Source organism: Homo sapiens, chromosome 2 (genome assembly GCF_000001405.40).
Source record: "Homo sapiens chromosome 2, GRCh38.p14 Primary Assembly".
Classification (NCBI taxonomy): Eukaryota; Metazoa; Chordata; class Mammalia; order Primates; family Hominidae; genus Homo; species Homo sapiens.
This window is the reverse complement of record NC_000002.12, coordinates 108,347,827-108,372,645: the sequence shown is the minus strand read 5'-3', so window position 1 is coordinate 108,372,645 and position 24,819 is coordinate 108,347,827. Positions and strand designations below refer to the sequence as shown.

Below are 24,819 nucleotides of genomic sequence, written 5' to 3'. Positions count from 1 at the left end.
AATTAGCCAGGCTTGGTGGCACACACCTGTAATCCCAGCTACTTGGGAGGCTGAGAAACGAGAATTGCTTGACCCCGGGAGGTGGAGTTTGCAGTAAACCAAGATTGTGCCACTGCACTCCAGGCTGGGTGACAGAGAAAGACTGTCTCAAAAAAAAAAAGAAATTTCTAAAATGTAAAAGCACTACTAAAAGAAGATATCTTTTAAGGGGAGGCTCACTGACTTATGTATTTCATAAATTAATGTAAAAAACATGGGGCCTGATGTTTATTTTTCCAAGTAAGGATATTTCCAAAAAAATTTACAATCACACTTCCATTTCATTAAGAAGGACATTTTAACATCAAGTGTGAGAGCATAATCTCAGAGTAAAAAGAAAATTGAATGTACCTAGCTGTATGAAAAACTTGTATTATCCTTAACTTTTACATCTCATTAGTAAATCATACCATTGAAAGATGACATTTGGGATTTCTCAGTAGTGGATTCTGGATTAGGAATTACAGGGAAATGGTCCTGGGTATGTGTCCAGGATCAGGAAGTACTGTGCCATGATCAAATTAGGGCCTCACAGAGGTTTAGAAAGGCCATTAGAGAGAAAATTAATGCATATTTCTTTTACTTTAGGTTATTATTTTAAAAAGTGTTACAAGGAACCACATGGGTTATTAATTGCACTGAAAACAAAATGTTCTTTGGCTACATTGTAACTGGTCAATGTGAGTGATGAGGTAGTCTTTATCACTTGTCTTGACATCTAGCTTTACTTTTCAGAGCCCTGCAGAAAGTACAATACCAGTCAGACCTTTTCATAGTCATTTAATTGCTCATTCTGAACCACTACAAAGTGACTTTTTCCAGCCTGCAATGGTACTTAAAACGTAGCAACAAAAAATACTTCACCATAAAAATACATGTGTAGTGGCCAGGCATGGTGGCTCACGCCTGTAATCCCAGCACTTTGGGAGGCCGAAATGGGTGGATCATGAGGTCAGGAGATCGAGACCATCTTGGCTAACATGGTGAACCACCCCCACTACTAAAAATACAAAAAGAAATTAGCTGGGCATGGTGGTGAGCACCTGTAGTTCCAGCTACTCGGGGGGAGGCTGAGGCAGGAGAATGGCATGAACCCAGGAGGTGGAGCTTGCAGTGAGCTGAGATCGCGCCACTGCACTCCAGCCTGGGTGACAGAGCGAGACTGTGTCTAAAAAACAACAACAAAACAAAACAAAACAAAACAAAAACAAAAAAAGTGTAGAAAAGCTTGATGAATGTATGCTGAAATGTTAAAGTTATCTCTAGAAGATGGGATGACATATGACTTAATATACATCTGGAATCTTCAATAAGTATATATTATTTTATAATATGAAAGTTATTTAAAAATTAGAACAGTTTATAATTTAAATATAATGGGAAACTTTTGGAGATTCAAAGTGTCTCAAAGTTGATTTTCTTCTAACATCTTAGTGAGAGATGAATTATTATGAGGTCACTATAATATATCAGGAAACATGAGCTAGGAAAGTTCTGTAATTTTGTTCTGGACAAATGAATGAGAGATCAGAAGAGTCTGGTGTTCGGATTCCTACCTCTGTGTTAATTGTATCTCTTTGAGGAGGGGTTGCAATGTTGCAGGTGTCTTCCTAAACTCTTTACATGTAATAATTCATTTACTGTCCACAACATCTACTTGAAGTGGATACTAATATTCTTCCCATTTTATATAAGATACAACAGAAGAACAGAGAGGTTGAGTAACTTGTCCAAGGTAATACACCCCATCAGTGACATTACCGGTATTTGAATGCAGGAAATTTGGCCACTGCCCTAAGTATCAACAGCTGCCTTTCACAAAGATTCTTACTTCTTGATTTGACCTCTGTGATGACTAAGGATGCTCACAAATGACATGTATGCTAAAAGCTGACAGAATAACAATATGTTATAATATCATGGAGTCCACCTATAACAGTTTTTATAGCCATTTTATTGAGAGCCCTAGGCCTCCAGGTATTGTCTTCCAGAGGTTACTGTGCATTGGGATGGGAGGAGGAACAGGGCAGGGAATGGACAGGGATAGTGTCATTGGGTAAGATCATATACTTAATATTGTTATTTATTATGTATTACATGAGGTTCAGTTATTTGTTCACATTGCTGCCTCGCACCACTCTGTCATAATCTTCACAAGGGCAACCACTATGATTTATTTCTTTCTGCTTCCTCATTACCTTAGCATGTACTTGATACATAGTAGACAATATGGCTAAGTATAAATGAAGGAGTGAGTTACATTCATACCTTTCTACCCTGTTGCCCTCAAAACAGACAAAGCATACTAAATGTAACGCCCCAGGTGACTCATCTCAAGCTTATGCTATATCAATATTTATAGGCCCCAGGTGACTCATCTCAAGCTTATGCTACACCAATATTTATTTTACAAACTGGTCTTCAAAGTAAAATCATTTTTAAATAAATAGAACTCCTTCTTTCTCTGCTCTTCCCCACCATCTTCAGAGGTATTGGAAGTGCAGAGAGCTCTGGCTGGAGCCACTGTCTGATTCTTTAGTTCAGACAAAATTTCCAGCGACACCGATGTTCTGAAGTCTAATTTTAAAATCTACACCTTCTCCCTGAACATTTAATCCAGAGGGAAAGTAATATGAAGAAGAGATAGAATTGACCATGTTTGTTTCAGACATACTCAATATTGCCCTAGGAGCTTCCAGCTTCTCTTGTTATTGAAGAATTTATGAGCCAGGTAATTGGGAATTGGTTGTTATATTAAAAGAAAAAAGCAAGATGTAAGCTTCATGGGGTGTGATCTCACTTATGTAAAAAATACGTAAGATGCTGAAAGGAAATTTACAAATAGAACATCTCTGGGTGCAGTTAGAGGTGGTTTTACATTTTAATAAATAATCATGGATTCATTTTAAACTTGGGGAGAATTAAGCTTCTGTTGTCATCTACTGCCACCTTCTTACTAATGTGCCAGGTGATGTTCAAGACAGTTTTTCATTACGGATAGAAACAAAAGAACTTCCCATCACATCCTTTGCACAGGACTTTCAGCTGGAGCTTTGTTTGTGAAATGTATTTATACCAAAGCCCCTGTCCTGTTCCCTAGAAAGACTACTGCTGTTGCCTGCAGACTCACCTTTCCATCATTCACTCATCAACACTTCCTGTGTACCTGATGTATGTACGGCAGGTACAGAGTGAATGCTACTGTGCTTTTCACTTGCTTCAAAATGGAAGACATCTGGAGAGCATCACCTACTGTGCATCGCTTGCTATTGCTGGGAAAGGATGCTTCAGAGTGTTCATGGTCCTAGATCAGGAAGTATATTATTCATCCTGTGATTATGGCAAAAAGATATAATATCATCATTGACATTTCTTATCTCATAAACTAGCTGGAATAGGGCAAGAGACTGTAAGATGGAAAAAGATATATATGAAATGGCATTATATTTAGTATGCTTTGTCTGTTTTGAGGGCAACAGGATAGAAAGGTATGAACGTAGAATGTAACTCATTCCTTCATTTATACCTAACCATATTGTTTACTATGTATCAAGTATATTCTAAGGTAATGAGGAAGCAGAAAAAAATAAGTCATAGTGGTTGCCCTTGTGAAGATTATGACAGAGCGGTGGGAGGCAGCAATGTGAACAAATAATTGAACCTCATGTAATAAATGGTAAATAATAATATTAAGTATATGATCTTACCCAATGACATCGAATTACCACAATGCAAAGAATTTTTGGTGCTCTCCCCTTAAATTACTTGGTAAATATGGTATCAACTCAAAATAAGAGGCATATATGGTTTAGGGAAGGCACTTTGTAAATTCAGAATTTGTGGAGTATTCAATTCTAATTGTTACACTAAGAAGGACATGACAAAAAAATAATGGGAAGTGTGCTGTAGGTTTTTCCTAGGAATAGGAATGGATATTTAGTTTTCCTGTATGTTGGGAAAGTTTTAAAACAATTGATTTCAGATTGCTTCAAAAAGAGTCAAGCTCTAATCTAGTTTTGGGGCAATGGATGCCACATGTTAGGTCAAAAAGGTAGAATATTAATGTGATCACTCAGGTGATCAAAGGATCTGTGCCGGCCTGTTGGAACTGGTGTGCCAGATCAACGTCCTGGGGAGAGGCAATGCTTTAAATTTGTACCAGCTGGCCATTCGCAGTGGCTTGTACCTGTAATCCCAGCACTTTGGTATGCTGAGGCGGGTGGATCACCTGAGGTCAGGAGTTCGAGACCAGCCTGACCAACATGGTAAAACCCGTCTCTACTAAAAATACAAAAATTAGCTGGTCATGGTGGCGCATGCCTGTAATCCCAGCTGCTCAGGAGGCTGAGACAGGAGAATTGCTTGAACCCAGGAGGCGGAGGTTGCAGTGAGCTGAGAGTGTGACACTGCACTCCAGCCTGGGCAACAGAGCAAGACTTTGTCTCAAAAAAACAAAAAAAGGTGTACCACAATATACCATTTACACTGTGATATTTGCCTATGTTCTAGTTCTTTCTTTGTTTAAATTCCACATCCATATAGAAAGACATGCCAAAAATAATACAGCAGCTACTATAGTGACTGAGATCCTGTTTTGCTTCCTGACATATGCTATTTTCATATGCTTCCTGACAATGCTTATGCATTTCTGACATTCATTGTATTTTTTCTTTTGGAATGTTATTTATAGAAAATTACAGCAGATACATAAGAGAAAAATGAGAAGTTTCCCATTCATTTTCATCACGCTTTATTCCTGATTATTTTTAAGGGTGAAGATATGATATTTACTAGTTCCAGTGCAAATAAACTTCTCACTGCTCTGGAAGAATTCCAGATGTACTCTGCTACATGATGATTCTATGTGTTGTACTTGAAACTAACGCTGCACTTGATACATGGCAAGAAGTCAAGGCTGAAGTTAAACTCTGTTGTCTACCAGCTGAGCTCCCCAGCCTTGGCATGCTTTTTACAACTCATACTTTCTTTTCAAGGTGTTCTTTATTTGACTTTCTCATTTTCAACATCATGGTCTTCTGCTCTTTGAACATGGCAAATCATTGCTGTTTGTATATGGAGGATGCCCAGGCTGAAGATTCCAGTGATGACAGATCATTGATAGTGTGACCTAGTCTGATTTGCCTCACCGGTGAAATGCTTTTCCTTCTTTGGTTTTACGGAAGACACTGTCCTCAAAAAATTAAATACACCTGGGAAACCTGGCCTCTGCTTCATTTAGAGACAGCATTAATGATTTATTTCAAGACAACACTAGGAGAAAGAACCGCACTATTTCCATATGTTACAAGTGGGTTAGAACATAGAGGAGTTGCTGCATGAGATTTTAAAATGTTTTCCAGAAAGTTCCACACAGGTGAGTCACTAACTTGTTTAGAAGCCATTTAAGACACATTTTGCACCTTTCTAAAAAAAATTGAATTGAGTCATACCTCTCTATTGATGTGTGAGAGCCACAGATGGTTTTCTTATTTTTTTATTTTTATTTTTTTTTTGAGACAGAGTTTTGCTCTTGTTGCCCAGGCTGGAGTACAATGGTGCAATCTCTGCTCACCACAACCTCCCCCTCCTGGGTTCAAGTGATTCTCCTGCTTCAGCCTCCTGAGTAGCTGGGATTACAGGCACCCACCACCACACCTGGCTAGTTTTTTTTTTTTTTTTGTATTTTTAGTAGAGATGGGGTTTCACTATTGTTGGCCAGGCTGGTCTCAAATTCCTGACCTCAGGTGATCCACCCGCCTTGGCCTCCCAAAGTGCTGGGATTACAGGCATGAGCCAATGCACCCGGCCACAATGGTTTTCTTCTTAATCATATATTTCATTTCTTACTACATTGCTGAGTTAAGCTATTCTGCTACCAGCATATGAGCTGCTGCTCAAATAGCAGTAACTTCTCTGGCTTTTGTTAAGACATCATCTTGATTCAGAGAGCCAAATGCCACCTTAAGCCATTCAGTTTTCTTTAAAGACATATTGTGGTGGATGGTCTCTGGTACCCTCATCCAGCTTCCTTAGAGAAGGGGATTTCAGCTACCAGGCCATCATTGCCACGGGGCCTTCTCTGTGTCCTGGCCTATGGCCTGCTCTTGTGGCTTGGGCTCAGTGAGTCTGTGGGTTGCTGGTACCATGGCACTCCAGGATGCCAGCTGCCCCCTTGAGCCCACTCCATAGCCTCTGACCCTACACCAACCCCTCCTCAAGCACAGCCTCCAGTTCCACTACTAGAGTGGGAGAAGCCTCTTGCCCAACCTCACTTGCATTTATCACACATTTTGAAATCTGACATTTGGGGAGCATTCTTTCTTTCTTTCTTCTTCTCTTTTTTTGAGACAGGGTCTCGCTATGTTGCCCAGGCTTGTCTCAAACTCCTGGGCTCAAGCCATTCTCTTGCCTCACCTCTCAAGTAGCTGGGACTACAGGTGCAAGCTACCGTGCCTGGCTATTTTATTTTATTTTCTTTGTAGAGATGGGGTTTTACTGTGTTGCCTAGGCTGGTCTGAAACTCCTGGGCTCAAGCAGTCCTCCCACTTCAGTCTCCTGAGTAGCTGGAATACAGGCATGCACCACGATTCCTGGTTGTATTTATTTCTTAGTAATGAGGATTGCTAAGATTAAGTTACTTGTCCAAGGTTACATAGCTTGAGTGGTAGGGCTAAGATCCTGATCATCTATCTTAATGTTCATTTAACTCATGCCTACTTCCCAAACACTAACAAATACTAACATTTCAAGTGCTGCAAGTCACGGAACTGTTTCTGTGGCAGATGCATTCTATCTCCCAACTTCGAACACTGGAGATAAATATCTCCTTTTGCTTTGTGGAAGGAATGGGTCAGAAAATTTATTAAATAAACAACAAATACCAGTCCCTTGGTTGTTCAAGTTAGTATCTACAGCTGATAAGACACTTCCATATATGAGTTACTCCTTTGCATTCGCTGAAGAAGGGTAAAAAGTAATGGATGCTGGTCATTTCTAGGTGTTCTGACTGGGGCGTGGATTCAGGGTGTGAAAGATTTCCTTGCTGGTTCCTGTGGCTGAGTTACTTATAAATCAGATGATTTTGTATGGGAAACTGCTTGCATCAGATACCGAAGTGGACTGGTCTTACCCACTCAAGCACTGAATGCTGAGATTGAATGGGAGCTTGTCTTTTTCCAGTATTTTCATTATTCTGTGCCATATCTATAATCTCATGTCCAAGTGATTCCTGATGGGATATAAGAAAAAAAAATCAAGGTACGTTAATTATCTATAAAATATTAGTTAGAGAAACTTTCTGTAGTAAAAAGTGAAATCTATAATGGCAATTTTAGCAAAAGATGAACAGAAAAACTAGATTATAAGTGGGAATAAGGAGCAAGGCTAGCAAAGATAACTAGAAATTTGCAGAAAATCTGTAAGTCTAATTTTAATGATTGTATTATGTTGGGAATGGGTGCTCGGTGTCGCAAAAATCAACATTGAGACAAAGGATCTCTCAGCAAGGCTAGTTTACTTTCTGCAGAAAGGGTGCTGTTCTCTGGCAGTCTTGCCATGAGAGCACACATGAACAAAGGAGACGGGGTCATTTATAACCTGACGTGTCCACCCTACTGCTGTGTCTGGTTTCCTTTGGCTGGAACAGGACCTCACATTCTGTACTCCACTTGATTGGCTAGCAACTTAGAACTTCCCAAAACAGGCAAATTGCGGAATGCTGAGAGAGGCAAAAACACTTCCAAATAAGGAAGAGAAATTGGTTATGACCTAATGCTTGCTTGGACCGGTTCAGGCATGCCAGGGCAAATATCTAGGCTAGAATGTGGGAGCTGAGAACACAGAGTATATTGATTTCTTTATTATGGCTAGCAGATGTTTAAGAATATTAGCACAGGACTTTGACTAAATTTTGCTTCTAAGAGAGGTTACTATCCATTCTCAATTAGACTTGGAGGAAAGTACCTTTGAAGAGGAACCTCTACTTATTTCATTTTCTACATATTAGCAAATAGTAAAACAGATCTGAGATTCCCCTTGCTTTTCTTCCTCTGTCCTCTCCTTTAGATTACTGCCATGGTCAAATGAAGGGAAAAGAAGTGATTCATGTTAGAAAAATTGCATATATTGGAAAATAACATTTTAGGGGATGAGAATTTGCAAATCTTTCTTATTAAAAGCAGACTTAAGAGAATTAGATAATGAAGGATAACAGGATTAGGATTCTGAGGTATCCTCTAAGTGAGAACAACTTTTGGTTGTTTTCGGGTGCTTACTTTTTCTCTCTATAGGTTCTTTTATCAGAATCACTAAAGAACTATGAATATGAGAAAAAAATCCAAGAATGTTTCCTATTCAACTAAGTCTTCCTGAAGCTTATTTATTTATATTTTAAATTGATAAGTGGTAGTTATATATATTTTGGGGACATAGCAGTAATCAGACACTCTTGGGTGCCTGAACATTAAAGTTTTTGGGCAGGAAAAAGGCAACAAGGCAGTGCTTAAGACAATAAGCTTTTCAAAGAATTGGAGAAAAACCTTGGAGGAAGGAGAGCCAATGAAAAGACAATTGTTAAGGCACGAGTCAGTGAGGGCCTGGATTTGACTTTTGACAGTGGAATTGAAAGGAAAGAGAGATTCAAAAGACAGGACACAAGAAAAACAGACAGGATTTTATGACTGACTGACTGTGGAAAGAAAAGTAGATGTTGCTAACAGAGCCGGTTTAGAAGCCAGCTTCATGGAAAAAGGAGAAAAGGAGAAGCTAGCACGAAGCTTTGAAAGCCAAGGCAGTGAAAATATCATGAAGACCAAAGCAGAAGTGGTTTTCAGGAAACTGTAGTGAAACACTTTAAAAGCTGCAGGTAGATGATATCAGCAAAATGGCAGAATAGGAGGTCCCAGGCTTCACTACTGCCAACAGAAAGTTCAACTGACAACAAAGAACACCTTGGTAAAAATCCCAAACTTTGGGTATAAGCTGGAGTTTCCTGCATTGTCCACAGAACTGAATAAAAACGACATTAAAGAGATAATAGAAATAGTCTCACATTAACCATGTCACCCTTTCCACTCCCCCAAATTGGCACAGTGCCACACAGAGGGGATTCCCCAGGACCCATGATTTCTACAGTGAGAAGTAGAGCCAGAGGAGGACATCCAACTTCCCTAGTCTTCTGAGATGCTTCCCAGAAAGCCCATTCCAGTTTTACTTCATGGGAAATACAGTGGGAAACAGCGTGGCTAGAACACTTGGGGTGAGGTAGAAACAAAGCAAGGAGGTGGTAACAAAGCAGTATTGGTGGTAACTCTGTGTACCTGTCAGTGGTGGCGCCCAATCAGAGGTACCAGCTAACAGATGTGATGTAATGCTCTACCTAGCTTGAGTCCCTAGATGGTCAGCCTCCATGACTCGCCTTAGACCCTACCCAGGGATTCCACTTAAGGAGGAAGATGATCACTGCAGCAAATTTCAGTAAAGGGTAGGGACTAGTTCTGCCACACCCAGAAGTTCAAACAGCATTTGAAGCATCCTCAAAGCCCATCCCCAAACCCCACCCACAGAGGGGGACAACTGATGCAGCAAACTTTGGCAAAGAGCCAAGGCTAGATCTGCCACACACAGGAGTTTAAACAGTTCTCAGCCCAACCTCAAAGCCCACCCCAAGGACTCATTTAGGCAGGGCAGCAAACCTCAACCATCCATTGCTATTAAGCATAGCAGCTGGTTCCATCCATCCCAATCAGTGACTCCACCTAACCTCAGGGTCCCTCCTGCAACACTATTTAGCTGCTGAACTCAAATATCAGTACCATCTGACCAGGGAATACACCCTGTGGCCCTGCTTGATTAGAAGCCATTGTAGTGCCAATTGACTGGCTCGGCTTGATGGCAGAGCTCAGCCAGTAGTTTTGCCAGATAGCAGAGCCTAGCCACCTGTCCCATTTAAATTCAGAGCAAAAACAGGAGTCCAGCCATCTAGAGAAGCTGAAAGTAAGCTCTGCCTTCCCTGAGTCATTACCAGCTGACTCATCCAGGGATGGGTCCTGTTCTAATTTTTTTTTTTTTTTTCAGAATGGAGTTTTGCTCTGTCACCTAGGCTGGAGTGCAGTGGCACAGTCTCGGCTCAGTCCAACCTCTGCCTCCCAGGTTCAAGCGATTCTCCTGCCTCAGCCTCCTGAGTAGCTGGGACTACAGGCGCACACCACCAGGCCCAGTTAATTTTTGTATTTTTAGTAGAAATGGGGTCTCACTAAGTTGGCCAGGCTGGTCTCGAACTCCTGACATCAGGTGATCCGCCCACCTCGGCCTTCCAAAGTGCTGGGATTACAGGCATGAGCCACTGAGCCTGGCCCTAATTTTGAAAGAGTTTGAGAATAATTGTTGCTAATTCTGTGATTATTCGTTAGAATTCACTAGTGAAGCCCTCTGAACATGAGTTTGTTGGAAGTTGTGTCATTACTGACTTTTTCTTTGCTTATGATAGATTTATTTAGGTTTTTTATTTTTTCGTGAGTCAGTTTCAGTAGCATGTGTATGTCTAGCAATTTGGCCATTTCTTCTGGGTTATCTAGCTTGGTATAAATTTGTTCATAGTTTTCTCTTCTAATCCTTTTATTTCTGTGAATTCAGTAGTATGAAAGATGTGGTATCTCTTTTATCTCTGGTGTTAGTAATTTGAATCTTCTCTACTTTTCTTGGTCAGTCTCTCTAAAGGTTTGTTAATTTTGTTGATACTTTCAAAGAACCAACTTTTGGGGTCACTGATTCAATTGTTTTTCTATGTTCTATTTCTTTTATCTCCACATTAATCTTTACTATTTTCTCCCTTCTTCTTGCTTTAGGTTTGGTGTACTCTTATTTTTCTATTTTCTTGAGGTAGGAGAAAGGTATGTAATGATGCAGAGGTGATCCACCAGTGGTGGTGGTAGGTGGGAAGCAAGAGGAATAGACTGAAGGAGTAGGGTCATGCTGAAGCATTTTAACTTCATCCTAAGGAAAATGGCAAGCTACTGAAGGGATTTAAGTGGAAAAGTGAGAAAATCAGAGTTCTGATTTAGACAAATCATTCTAACTATAGTGAAAAAAAAAAAGCCAAAAAAAAACAAAAAAAAGTTGGAGTGGGGGAAGATGGGAGCCAGAGTCCAGAATCTTAAACCTTAGAGTTGGAAAGGACATTTGCAAGTGTTCTAATCCTAGTCCTACTTCCCAGATGGTGTAAGAATCTCCTCTACCACATCTCTATAGTTGCTGTTATACTTTTTCAGCCTAGTTATCACCACCTAACAGGTTGTCTATTCCATTTTTATCAGCTCTATTTTTAGAACTTTTTTCTTATCCTGAGCTAAACTCCTCACTGCAGCATCCATCCATTGTCCACCTCTTGTTCATTGGAGCCATATAGAATAAGCTCATTCTGCTTTTCATGACAACTTTTTAAACAGTTGAAGAATTATATCTTCCCCAAGTCTACTTTTTTCCAAGATTCTTTAAATGTTTCTTATGCTACATAATTTTAAGATCCCTGTCACTTCAGTTACCTTCCTCTGGACACACCCTGGCAGGTCAAGATCTAACATATTCTGAAGTACCAAGGAGCTTTCTGGAGGAGTCTTAAGGGTTTCCAAGGTAAACAATCCTATCATCAGCAAACAGTGACAGTTTGACTTCCTCTTTACCGATTTGGATGCCCTTTATTTCTTTCTCTTGTCTGATTGCTCTGGCCAGGACTTCCAGTACTATGTTGAAGAGGAGTGGTGAGAATGGGCATCCTTGTCTCATTCCCATTCTCAGAGAGAACGCTTTCAACTTTTTTTCCATTCAGTGTTAGATTGGCTGTGGATTTGTCATAGATGGCTTTAATTACATTGAAGTATGTCCCTTCTATGCCAATTTTGCTGAGAGTTTTAATCATGAAGGGATGATGAATTTTGTTGGATGCTTTTTCTGGATCTATCAAGATGATCATGTGATTTTTGTTTTTAATTCTGTTTATGTGGTGTATCACATTTATTGACTTGCATATATTAAACCATCCCTGCATCCCTGGTGTGAAGCCCACTTGATCATGGTGGATTATCTTTTTGATATGTTGTTGGATTTGGTTAGATAGTATTTTGTTAAGGATTTTAACATCTATGTTCAACAAGGATATTGGTCTGTAGTTTTCTTTTTTGGTTATGTCCTTCCCTGGTTTTGTTATTTAGGGTGATGCTGTCTTCATAGAATGAATTAGGGAGGGTTTCTTTTTTCTCTGTGTTGTGGAATAGGCTCAAAAGGATTGGTACCAATTCTTCTTTGAATGTCTGGTAGAATTCTCCTGTGAATCCATCTGGCCCTGGACTGTTTTTTGTTGTTAATTTTTAAATTACCATTTCAATCTTGCTGCTTGTTATTGGTCTGTTCAGGGTATCTAATTCTTCCTGATTTAAGCTAGGAGGGTTTTATTTTTCCAGGAATTTATCCATCTCTTCTAGGTTTTCTAGTTTGTGTGCATAAAGGTGTTCATAATAGCCTTGAATGATATTTTATATTTCAGTGGTGTCAGTTGTAATATCTCCTATTTCGTTTCTTAGTGAGGTAATTTGGATTTTCTCTCTCTCTTTTTTTTTTTTTTTTAATGAAGTCTCGCCCTTGTTGCCCAGGCTGGAGTGCAATGGCGCAATCTGAGCTCACTGCAATCTCCACCTCCCGGGTTCAAGTGACTTTCCTCCCTCAGCCTCCCGAGTAGCTGGGATTACAGGCACCTGCCATCATGCCCAGCTAATTTTTGTATTTTTAGTAGAGACAGGGTTTCACCATGTTGGCCAGTCTGGTCTCTAACTACTGACCTCAGGTAATCTGCCTGTCTCAACCTCCCAAAGTGCTGGGATTACAGGAATGAGCCATGACACCCGGCCTTCTCTTTTCTTGGTTAATCTTGCTAATGGTCTATCAATTTTATGTATCTTTTCAAAGAACTAGCTTTTTGTTTCATTTATCTTTTGTATTGTTTTTCTTTGTTTCAATTTCATTTAGTTCTGTGCTGATCTTGGTTATTTCATTTCCTTTTCTGGGTTTGGATTTAGTTTGTTCTTATTTCTCTAGTTCCTTGAGGTGTGACCTTAGAAGGTCAGTTTGTGCTCTGTCAGTCTTTTTGATGTAGGCATTTATGGCTATGAACTTTCCTCTTAGCACTGCCTTTGTTGTATCCCAGAGGTTTTGATAGGTTGTGTCATTATTGTTGTTTAGTTTGAAGAATTTTTAAATTACCATGCTGATTTCTTTTTTGATGCAATGCTTGTTCAGGAGCAGTTTATTTAATTTCCATGTATTTGCTTGGTTTTGAAGGTCCCTTTTGAAGTTGATTTCCAGTTTTATTCCACTGTGGTCTGAGAGAATGCTTGATATAATTTCAATTTTCTTAAATTTATTGAAGCTCATTTTTTTGCCTATTATATGGTCTAACCTTGGAGAAAGTTCCATGCACTGTTTAATAGAATGTGTATTCTGTGGTTGTTGGATGAAATGTTCTGTATATATCTGTTAAGTCCGTTTGTTCCAAAGTATATTTTTAATCCATTGTTTCTCTGTTGACTTTCTGTCTTAATGACCTGTGTAGTGCTGTCAGTGGAGTATTGAAGTCCCCAACTATTATTGTGTTGCTGTATATCTCATTTACTATTATTGTGTTGCTGTCTATCTCATTTACTAACCCTATTAGTAGTTGTTTTATAAATTTGAGAGCTCCAGTGTTAGGTGCATATATGTTTAGGATTGTGATATTTTCCTGTTGGATAAGGCTTGTTACCATTACATAATGTCCCTTTTTGTCTCTTTTAACTGCTGTGCTTTCACGTTTGTTTTGTCTGATACAAGAATAGCTACCCTGCTCACTTTTGGTGTCCATTTGCTGGTGTCAGAGTATTCCCTGACATCCCTTCAATCCCTGGTCACAGAAGTGTGTGGAGCGCAGGTGTAGAAAAGGAAAAATAGAGCCAGGCGCGGTGGCTCACACCTGTAATCCCAGCACTTTGGGAGGCCGAGGAGGGCAGATCATGAGGTCAGGAGATGGAGACCATCCTGGCTAACACGATGAAACCCCATCTCTACTAAAAATACAAAAAATTAGCTGGGCATGGTGGCGGGCGCCTGTAGTCCCAGCTACTCAGGAGGCTGAGGCAGGAGAATGGCGTGAACCTGGGAGGTGGAGGTTGCAGTGAGCCAAGATCGCGCCACTGCACTCCAGCCTGGGCGACAGAGCGAGACTCCGTCTCAAAAACAAACAAACAAACAAAAAATATATATATATTTGCACCTAACAACAGAGCCCCAAGATACATGAAGCAAAACCTGACATAATTTAGGGAAAAAGACAGTTCAACAGTGATAGTTGGAGACTTCAATATTCTATTTCCAGTAATTAACATAATAACTAGATAGAAGATTAGTTAAAAAAAAATTAGACTTGAAAAACACTGTAAACCAATTAGGCCTAACATATCTATAGAACACTCTAGCCAACAACATGATGCACATTCTTCTCAAGTGCACATGGAACATTCTCCAAGATAGACTGTATGATAGATCACAAAAAAAGCCTCAGTAAATTTAAAAGGATTGACACCAGGTAAATATATTCTCCAACCACAATAAAATGAAATTAGAAATCAATAACAGAAGGAAATTTGGAAAATTTACAAGTATGTGCGAATTAAACAACACACTCTTGAATAACCAATGGGTCACTGAGAAATTCACAAGGGAAATTAGAAAATACTGTACTATAAAAGAAACTGAAAACACAACATACTCAAACTTATGAGAAGCAGGAAAAGTAGTGATCAGAGGGAAATTTATAGCTATAAATTCCTACATTAAAAAGGGAGATCTCAAATCGAATTACCTAACTTTCTACCATAGGAAATTAGAAAAACAAGAGCACACTAAACCTAAAGCAAGAAGAAGGGAGAAAATATTAAAGATTAGTGTGGAGATAAATGAAATAGAACATAGAAAAACAATAGAATCAATGACCCCAAAATTTGGTTATTTGAAAATATCAACAAAATTGACAGGTCTTTAGTGAGACTGACCAAGAAAGAAAGAGGGAAGACTCAAATAACCAAAACTATGAAAAATTTTGTGCCAAGTTAAATAACCTAGATTAAATGGTCAAATTGCTAGAAACACACATCCTCCTGAAACTGACTAATGAAGAAATAGAAAATCTAAATAAATCTATAATAAGCAAAGAAGTCAGTCATGACACAACTTCCAACAAAGAAAAAAACTCATGTTCAGATGGCTTCAATAGAGAATTCTACCAAATATTCACAGAATAAACACCAATTCTTCTCAAACTCTTCCAAAAATTAGAAAGAGAGAGAACACTTTCTACTTCATTCTATAAGGCCAACATTACCCTAATACCAAAGCCAGAGAAATACATAACGTGCAAAGAAAACTATAGACCAATATTCCTTATTAATATAAATGCAAAATCCTCAAAAAAAAAAAAAATAAACTGAATCCAGCAGCACAGAGAAATGATTATACACCATGATGAAGTGGGATTTATTCCAGGAATGCAGGATTGATTCAACATATCAAAATCAATGTAATGTACAATATTAACAGAATTATTAATAATTTGAAAACACGTAATTTTCTTAATCAATGTAGAAAAAGCAATTGACAAAATCCAACATCTTTTCATGAACAAAATAAAACAAATTAGTAATAGAAGATGTTCTAGACTGAATAATGGTCTTCTTAAAGATTTCCATGTTCTAATCTCTGGAACCTGAAAATACTACCTTGTGTGCCAAAAAGGAGTTTGAAGATGTGATTAAATTAAGGATCTTGAGAAGATTTTCCTGGATTCTGGGTGGTCACTAAGTGCAATCACATGTATCCTTATAAGAGGGAGACAGAGATTTGTCCACAGAAAATAAGAAGGCAGTGTGACCATGGAGGCAGATTAGAGTGATGTGGCTACAAGACAAGGTATGCCAGTAGCTACCACAAGCTAGAAGAGGCAAGGTACAAATTGTCTCCTAGGGCCTCTGGAGGGAGCCCAGCCCTGTTGCAACCTTGATCTCGGCCCAGTGAAACTGATTTTACATGTCTGGCCTCTGTAAAAGAGTAAATATGTATTGTTTTCAGCCACCAAGTTTGTGTTAATTTGTTGAGGGTTTTGCAGCCATAGGAAATGAATGCAGATCTGTTAGTCACATTACAAAATCCAACATATTTCCATGATAAAAACACTCACCCATGTAGGAATAGAAGGGAACTTGTTGATTCTTATAAAGGGCACTTATGAAAGTCCCACAGGTAACATTATACTTATGGTGAAAGAGAGATATTTGCTTTTAAAATCTGGAATGAGGCAAGGATGTCTGCTCTCACTATTTCTAATCAACATTGCACTTGAGGCCCTAGTCACAAAACTTGCATAAGAAAAAGATATCCAGATTGGAAGGGAGGAAGTATAACTATCTCTATTTGCATATGACATGATCTTATATCGTCATGAGCCATATGACATTTTGGTCAACAATGGACTGCATATATGAGAGTGGTTCCATAAGATTATAATGGAGCTATGTAATGGAGAAGGATATACCATCCAGGTTTATGTAAGTACACTCTATGATGTTCACTCAGTGACAAAATTGTCTAATGACACATTTCTCAGACATTTCCCCATCATTATGCAAGGCACGACTGTATACAGAAAACCCTAATGAATCCCTTCAGAACTATTAGAGCTAATAAATAAATTTAGCAAAGTTGCAGATTACATGATCAATATACAAAAATTCATATTTCTTTACACTAATAATGAACAATCCAAAAATTCAATTGAGAAAATAATTCCATTTATTATAGCATTGAAAAGAATAAATATTAAGAAATGAAACCATAAAACATTGTTGGCCAGGTGCGGTGGCTCACGCCTGTAATCCCAGCACTTTGGGAGGCTGAGGCGGGCGCATCACGAGGTCAGGGGATCGAGACCATCCTGGCTAACATGGTGAAACCCCGTCTCTACTAAAAATACAAAAAATTAGCCGGTCCTGGTGGCGGGAGCCTGTAGTTCCAGCTACTCAGGAGGCTGAGGCAGGAGAATCACTTGAACCCGGGAGGCGCAGGTTGCAGTGAGCCGAGATTGAGCCACTGCAGTCCAGCCTGGTGACAGAGCGAGACTCCATCTCAAAAAAAAAAAAAGAAAAGACCTCTAAGAAGAGCCTGTGGTTTGTGTGTGAGGATGGGTCAGCAGAGCAACTGCACTTCAGCACTTTCTCCTGACGAAGTTTGATCACTCCTTTATCTCTGCATTTTCTCCTTAATGGCTATCATCATACCAAATTTGCCTTTCTCTAACTTAAGTTGAGAAAGTTTTTCAAAACTAACTTTATTAAAGGGAAACAAAAATCTGAAATAAAATAAAATAAAGTACATGGAAACGGGTGATTTTATTAATCTGAAGATTATTATTCAGTAGTGTGCCTCCACTGGCTGGCACAATTCCCTGGCTCCAAGGCTTTGGATCCCCTTTCCTGCATGGGTCCTGTTAAAGTCTGTGTCCTTCTAGATAGGATTTATGCATTTCAATCACGAACTCTGAGCCACATAGTTTGTTAGAGTCGCAACCCCAATGCCTGCAGGGGCAGGGCAGTAAGCAGGTGGAGTGAACTTGTTGGCATCTGGTGAGTGCCAGCCCCATTTATAGCAGGAGGCCATGGAGCTCTGGGTGCCATTGGTGCCAGAAATTGGGAGTTTATGGAACATCTCCTGACTTTTACATGTTGACAACTAATTCAAAATTTTTTAAAAACAGCACATCTGCAAGCCATATTCAACCTAAAAGCCACTAGTTGGAAACCTCTGCTCTAAGTGGAGAGCTAGGTGGAATTTTGTCTTTGAGACCAAGGCATTTTCCCTAGGTGGAGTTTAGCCTGGCTCCCACAGCCATGATGTTACTCCAAGCAGTATTAGTTTGCTATTTCTGGGTCCAGAGTTTGAGCTCCTTAAGGGCAGAATCTAGAAGCTTCTCACCTTTATACTCTCCTCAGCTCCTAAGGCATATGCTTATTTATCGAAATCATGAAATTGTGCATTAAGAAACAGACCCAAAACGTGGTGAGAAGACTCATATTCATTTCTCTGTAAGGAGAGACCAGCAAATTGCCACATGCTCCCCCTTCCTGATGTTTTCAAAACAAAACAGTTATATGTGAGAATGTGTGTTGCAATTCCAAAGTTCTGTTTTAAGACAATCCTTAGTAACACAGGACTTGGTGTCAAAAGATTTTAGTACTCACATTGGGTTACGTAAAATTAGAATTCTGCATGTTGCCTAACCATTTCAATGCCCAGTGATCAGAGAGAAAATAAAAGCAAGAACGAGACTTATAGTTCATTCTGTGTCTCCCCACAGAAGCACCTCGAGGGTAGGGGCTGTGTCTGATTCCTCCTTTCCTCTCCAGTATCTGGCACTAGGTCTACAGAGTCAGCTGTGAACCTGTAATACTCATTATTAAAAGTATTAATACTTTTAATACTCATTATTAATACTATTAATATTTTTAGTTCTCGTTATTAGAAGTATTATCTTAGGCTAGTGTCCTTAATCTCTTTTTCACCTGCCTCACAGCATCCATGGCCATAGAAGCCTCCGATTGATCTCAAAGCCCCCCCATCTGACTTTGTATAGATCTTCAAAGTCCCCCCATCTGACTTTGTATAGATCTAAAGATGCCACAGTGTGGGTAGGCTGCCATGACCAGGGGACTCCCAACACACAGAAGACCACAGTCCTTTCCTTAGATCAGCTTTAATCAGAAGTTAGCTCAGAGGTGGAGCCAAATGTGGATAAGACAGCCCCACCTTCCAGGTTAAGACAGGTTTTACATTTTGCTGACTGGTCTGCTCCTTGCTCCCTGGACGTGCTCGGTCCCCAGAGGGACACAGGGAGGGGTGAAGAAAACCTGACTTACTCGGGACCTGTTGGTGCCAACCTGATCTTTGGATACTCTGAGAACAGCTTATAATGTCCATTTCTGAGTTAAAGTTTACAATTATATAAATAGCAAGAACAAATTTTACTGCCTATTCAGACTTGTAATTAGATTTTGCAAAGAATTTGGGCATCCCTCAAACAGGAAAGCTATCATTTTATTGACTTACCGTGAAGTGAGAACAGTCTATGACTAGGGTCAGGGGTCAGTATCTCTTGGCAGATTCCTCCCCTAGAAGCAACCTATAGCATCAGCCTATCCACACACTTTAACATTCCTAAATCTATACAAAATTAGATAGGGAGAGCAAGCTTCAAGATTAATATAAAAAAAGGTAGGAATCTGAGGAAGTTAGGTAGGTGATGACTTTTCAGACCCAACCTTTCATGTCCTACTGATATTTATTTAAAGCAGTACCATGTGCCTGAGATGGAGGTGTTTGTGGTTGGGCAGGCTGGCTTTGCTAATTTTAAATCCACCAAAATATATCATTTTGGCATTGACAGGTGTATTAGTCTGTTCTCAGGCTCCTATAAGGACATACCTGAGACTGGGTGATTTATAAAGAAAAGAGGTTTAACTGACTCACAGTTCCGCATGGCTGGGGAGGCCTCAGCAAATTTACAATCATGGTGGAAAGGGAAGCAAACATATCCTTCTTCACATGATGGCAGCAAAAGGAAGTGCTGAGAAAAAGGGGAAAAGCCCCTTAGAAAACCATCAGATCCCATGAGAACTCACTATGATGAGAACAGCATGGAGGCAACCACCCATGATTCCATTACCTGCCACCGGGTGCGTCCCACAACATGTGGGGATTATGGGAAGTACAATTCAAGATGAGATTTGGGTGGGGACACAGTCAAACCATATCAACAGGAGCAACCAATTTCTCTGACGTGGCAGTAACTCATTACACCCATTGTTCCAGGCCCTGTGCTCACACGGTGGCCTCCTTCATGTCATGGTGGGGTTGAGTTGTTTGCACATCCAACTTCGCCCAAACCCCTCTTCATCTCGGGGTATGCCTGCTACACCCTCCTGGTGCTTTCTCCTCTGTATTCCTTCCATTGTTGACCTCCTGGGTGAACAGGATTTGCGTTTTTTTTTTCCCTCTGGTGTCTCCTCTCCTCCATCCCTCTGCCACAGCTGCCATACCATACCCCTGATAAGATGGGAGGGGATTGGATGACCTCAGGAAAGTGGGTCTCAGATTCTCCCTCTTGGACACTGGAACAAAAATACAGAAAGAGATTGTCAATTTGTAGTGAAAATGGCCCATCTAACGAAAGTGTCGAGGAGGCAGAAAATAGGAAAAAGTAGAAGAAATGCTGGGAAGGAGCAAGAGGAAAATGGAGTCCCTACTTGGCTGGAAGCAGCAGTGAAAGGGAGCCAGGCAGACCACAGAGAAACAAAGTTTCATCAGCCTAGGCTACCACTTCCAGTTGAGCTGCCCTTGTCCTGTCTCCTCCCATGAGTGCCTCTTTTGCCAGGATAAATTGAGAAAGTCTGTAGCTTGCATCCTGTCTAAGCAGGGCAGCTGGGTGTAACCCCTGAGATTTGTTGTGGCTTCTCTCTTTGCAGAAAGATGTTCCCACATGGGTCTGCTTATCTTAAGAGACCATATTTTAAATAATCTTTATTTTCTCTGAGTGAAAGCCACCCTCTCTGGAATCCTCTCCTTTATATTTGCCAGCCTTTGGCCTTGTTTCTGTTGTATATAATTAGCCATAGACATTTTACCTTACCTCAAAGTAGTCTAAGAAGAAAGGGAGAAGATTGGGGTCCTGAACTTGGGAAAGAAAGAATGGAGAGAAGGTCTTAGCAGAGCGAGAGAAATGGCAGCAAGCCAGGGACCCAAGAGGAAGAGGACTGGGTAAGGAATTTTCCAGCAATTATTGACTGATGAATTGAAGAATAATGAGGTCTGTGTTATATTTTATTTCTTCTTATTTGATGCAAGTACCTTAGATTTGTCCCGATCTTCAGCAAAGGTCTGCTATAATAGTTTTGCATTTGTGGTTCTCTGGCATTGCGGGGAGGTTGTTCTCTATTTGGCTTAAGAGGGGCAAGCACGTGGTCCAAAATATGTAGGACAAGTGGCAGGCAGGCAAAGGGGATTGGGGATTGAATTGGCTGCAGAATAGTAGCTCCCTCCATCTCCACTTCTTCTTCCCTCCACTGGAGTCCTTGGAAGTCTCAGAGAGATTTACCTGTTGAGCATCCTCCTTTTCTTTTCCTTGGTATTTTATTGTTGCAGACAGGAGTAAATTGTTGGTTTTGAAACATCTTCATAGGGGGCTGTTTAGGCCAACCCTGGGCAGCTAAATCTGGATTTAATATTAGAGATTAATAAACTTCTATCAAAGTTTTATCTTGTTTTAACCACTGGATTTTCTGTTAACTACAGACAAACCCAATACATTGAGGAGAATACTGGATCTCCTGTCATGTGTGATGGGTGCCTGAGTTATTTTCTTTTACGTTATTCCAAATTTAAACCCTATGTATTAAGCAGTGTTATTTAAAATAATGGTTAAGTAATTTTCCAAATACAAAATAGCCTTTTAATGGCAGCTTTATTTCAAACCAAGGAATGTCAGCTTTAAACCTACAATGTTTCCAGCATGTGAGAATGTCTCTCATGAATAAAATATCTGATGCTGGGCGCAGTGGCTTACACCTGTAATCCCAGCACTTTGGAAGGCCAAGGTGGGTGGATCATTTGAGGTCAGGAGTTTGAGACCAGCTTGGCCAACAGGGTGAAACCCTGTCTCTACTAAAAATACAAAAATTAGGCTGGGCGCAGTGGCTCACGCCTGTAATCCCAGCGCTTTGGGAGGCTGAGGCGGGTGGATCACCTGAGGTCACGAGTTCCAGACCAGCCTGACCAATATTGTGAAGCCTCTTCTCTACTACAAATACAAAAATTAGCTGGGCGTGGTGGCGCATGCCTGTAATCCCAGCTACTCGGGAGGCTGAGACAGGAGAATCACTTGAACCCAGGAGGCGGAGGTTGCGGTGAGCCGAGATTGCACCATCGCACTCTAGCCTGGGTGACAGAGCGAGACTCCATCTCAAAAAAAAAAAAAAAAAAAAAGCCTGGCATGGTGGTGCATGCCTATAATCCCCGCTACTCAAGAGAATCACACTCTGACTTAACCTGGGAGATGGAGGTTGCGGTGAGCCAAGATTGCACCCCTGCACTCCTCAAAAATAAAAAAATCTGGCAATACCTAAATAACTATACCAATTAAGCCCATATTACGTGCCAGGCACTTTATACACATTAACTTATTTAATGCCTCCAACAACCCAGTGATAAGGTAAATCACCAACCTACTTCTCCCAGATGATATAGAAGGACTACGAGGCGGATAATCTAGCCAAAGATGCCATCTAGTGGGTAAAGACAACCGCCCTGGAGCCTGGAAGGCCGGTTCAGCACCATGCCCTGCTGCTTCTGAGAGCCTCAGCCCGGCCACAGACCCACAAGACCCCCCTGGCTTTTTGTCCTTTTGTATTCCTGTCTGTGGAACTGTCTGCTGAGCCTATCTGGAAAACAGGACAATTATTTGCCCTGGATTTTGCTCTCTTTCTCTCTGAGGAGAAGTAGAAGGTGAGTTGTTTTCTCTGGCTCTTTCTGGGTGTACCATGGGTGGAAAGTGCCAGAAACTGTGCTGATTCTAAGAGTTCCTATATATTTTGACTCAAGCAAAGATCCTAAGATAATAATATTTGCTAACATATCTTGTGTTATTCATGATAGTTCTTTCTTCTCATGTCATCATGATTTTTTCTTGAATCAAGATATAGCCAGGTCCTAAGTGTACCAGTCTAAATGATGACAAGTCTCACTTGTTTCTGTGTTCTAATGGGACTACTTGAGTGACTTGCATTTTCCTGGCTTTGGCTTCTACCTACCCCGTGATGAGAGCGGGGCTTCCACAGGGCTTCCACAGGGCTCTTGGTTGAGTCAAGCTGGGGTTTAGTGGGACACACTTCTGAATGTCAGACACCACACCTTCTACGGATGGCTCTGCTGCTCCTCTGCCAGAGGCACAGTGACCAGATTATGCTCATCCATGAGATGTCTCAATTCTTATGTATACAGACATCTGATGTGCTGTCTCACTAACTCTCCCATGAATTCATCATGCATCCCTGCATCCATCCCTGCATCCATCCATCCATCCATCCATCCGACAGGTGCTTGCTGAAAACTTGCCAAATGCAGAGGACGATAATGCAGTGAAAAGGCAGACACAGTCCCTGCTTTCTTAGAGTTTCAGCCTTTGGGCAGAAAGCATGGCCAAGGAGCTCATTTGTGGATGAGAAACCTAGGTGGAGAGACAAGGTAACCTGCCAGCATCCTCAGGCTCTTGGCCGCACTGTGATGCCCATCCTTAGTCTCCTCATCTCATGCCCCTTCCCCATGCTGTGTTTTCCCAGTCTGCCTGAGCATGGGAATCCTCTCAGGTGCTTAGGTGCATGCCCAGGCTGCTGCCCTGAGAGTCAGATTCAGTCTGTCTGGAGGGAGGCAAATGGGTGGGAATTAGAAACCAACCAGGCGCATCTGGAAAATGCTGTGTCACACCAGAGTTTATGAGAAGGTCATGTGTTGAAGACACAATATCTGAAATGATAAATAGTGAACTTCTCTTTCTCCTGCTTATGCTGCCACAGATGCCTTCAGCTTCTCCCATAGTTCCTTTCTTAGAAAGATGAGGGTAAAAACTAAAAAGGCTTTAGCTTCCATGGAGATAATTCTTTGCCTCATTCTATTCCAAATTAGATAACCTTGTGTTGTATCCTAAATTTTGATTAAGGAATTTCAAGTGAAATTTGTACAGAATCTCTAACTGCATGAATCTCCCTGCATGAGTGACTTTTTCCCCTTCTCTCTTTTTTATCACATGTATTTAAGGTATACAACATAATATTTTGATACACACAGTGAAGTGGTTACTACAGTCAAACAAATTAACATCATCAATCATCTCACATAGGTTAAAAAAATTATTTTGGAAAGAGTACCTAAAATCTGTTCTCTTAGCAAATTCATAGTATACAATACAACATTACTAACTATAATCCTCACTGCATGAATGACTTATTGTCTCTATCCTTGGTTAAATGTGGGCAAATTAGAGAATGAGAATAGAGTGAACTCATTGGTACAGTAGAAGAGGGGTGGTAAGTGTTTGAAGTAAGTATTTGTGGTTCTGTAGACCCACAGGGTGGTAGCATTGGGAAGGACCCCTGCTTACATTCAGGCCACCAGATATTGCACAGAGATGAGAAAACTAGGACTGGAGATGGTAAGGCACCAGCTGAAGGGTACATAGCCAATGCTGGAGAGTCCATACTAGAACCCAGCCGTCTTCTACTCTATAAAGCAGGTTCATCAAGTTTTACTGCAGTAGACAAATAAAGGTTGACTGTGTGAATGCCATTTTCTTTTTGTTTTCATTTCACCCTTTCAATTTCTCTGCATTACCAAAAAGTCAAAAAATAACAAATGCTGGCGGGGATGTGGAGAAAGGGGAGCCCATGCTCAGGCAGATTGGGGAAATTCCAGCATGGGGGAGGGGCAGGAGGCGAGGAGACTGGGGTGGGGATGGGCATCACAGTGCTACCAAAAGCCAGGGGAGTTTCCCTTTCTCCACACCTTTAGCGGGAATGTAAATTAGTGCAGCCATTATAAACAACAATATGGGGGTTCTTCAAAAAATTAAAAATAGAACTACCATATGACCCAGCAATCCCACTG

The 24,819-nt window shown here is 40.5% G+C and overlaps 2 pseudogenes across 1 annotated transcript in view, besides 2 other annotated features; both read right to left on the bottom strand.

The window, feature by feature from the left end:
* Positions 4,706 to 5,530, bottom strand: GMCL1P2 (GMCL1 pseudogene 2; annotated as a pseudogene).
* Positions 7,059 to 8,258: an enhancer, noted in NCBI's record as "MED14-independent group 3 enhancer chr2:108980844-108982043 (GRCh37/hg19 assembly coordinates)". NCBI's record gives its function as "activates an origin of replication core promoter dependent on BRD2, BRD4, P300/CBP and CDK7 cofactors, and independent of MED14, by STARR-seq in HCT116 cells {active_cell/tissue: HCT116}" and the evidence as "EXISTENCE:reporter gene assay evidence [ECO:0000049][PMID:35650434]".
* The window catches only part of SULT1C5P (sulfotransferase family 1C member 5, pseudogene), a 31,562-nt pseudogene continuing 25,589 nt past the window's right edge, over positions 18,847 to 24,819 (bottom strand). Inside the window, exon 4 of the transcript NR_037191.1 lies at positions 18,847 to 20,276. The product of NR_037191.1 is annotated as a sulfotransferase family 1C member 5, pseudogene (transcript). The remainder of the gene's footprint in view (positions 20,277 to 24,819) is intronic.
* Positions 22,496 to 22,555: an enhancer, noted in NCBI's record as "active region_16341". NCBI's record gives its function as "activates an Ori minimal core promoter by ATAC-STARR-seq in GM12878 lymphoblastoid cells {active_cell/tissue: GM12878}" and the evidence as "EXISTENCE:reporter gene assay evidence [ECO:0000049][PMID:35858748]".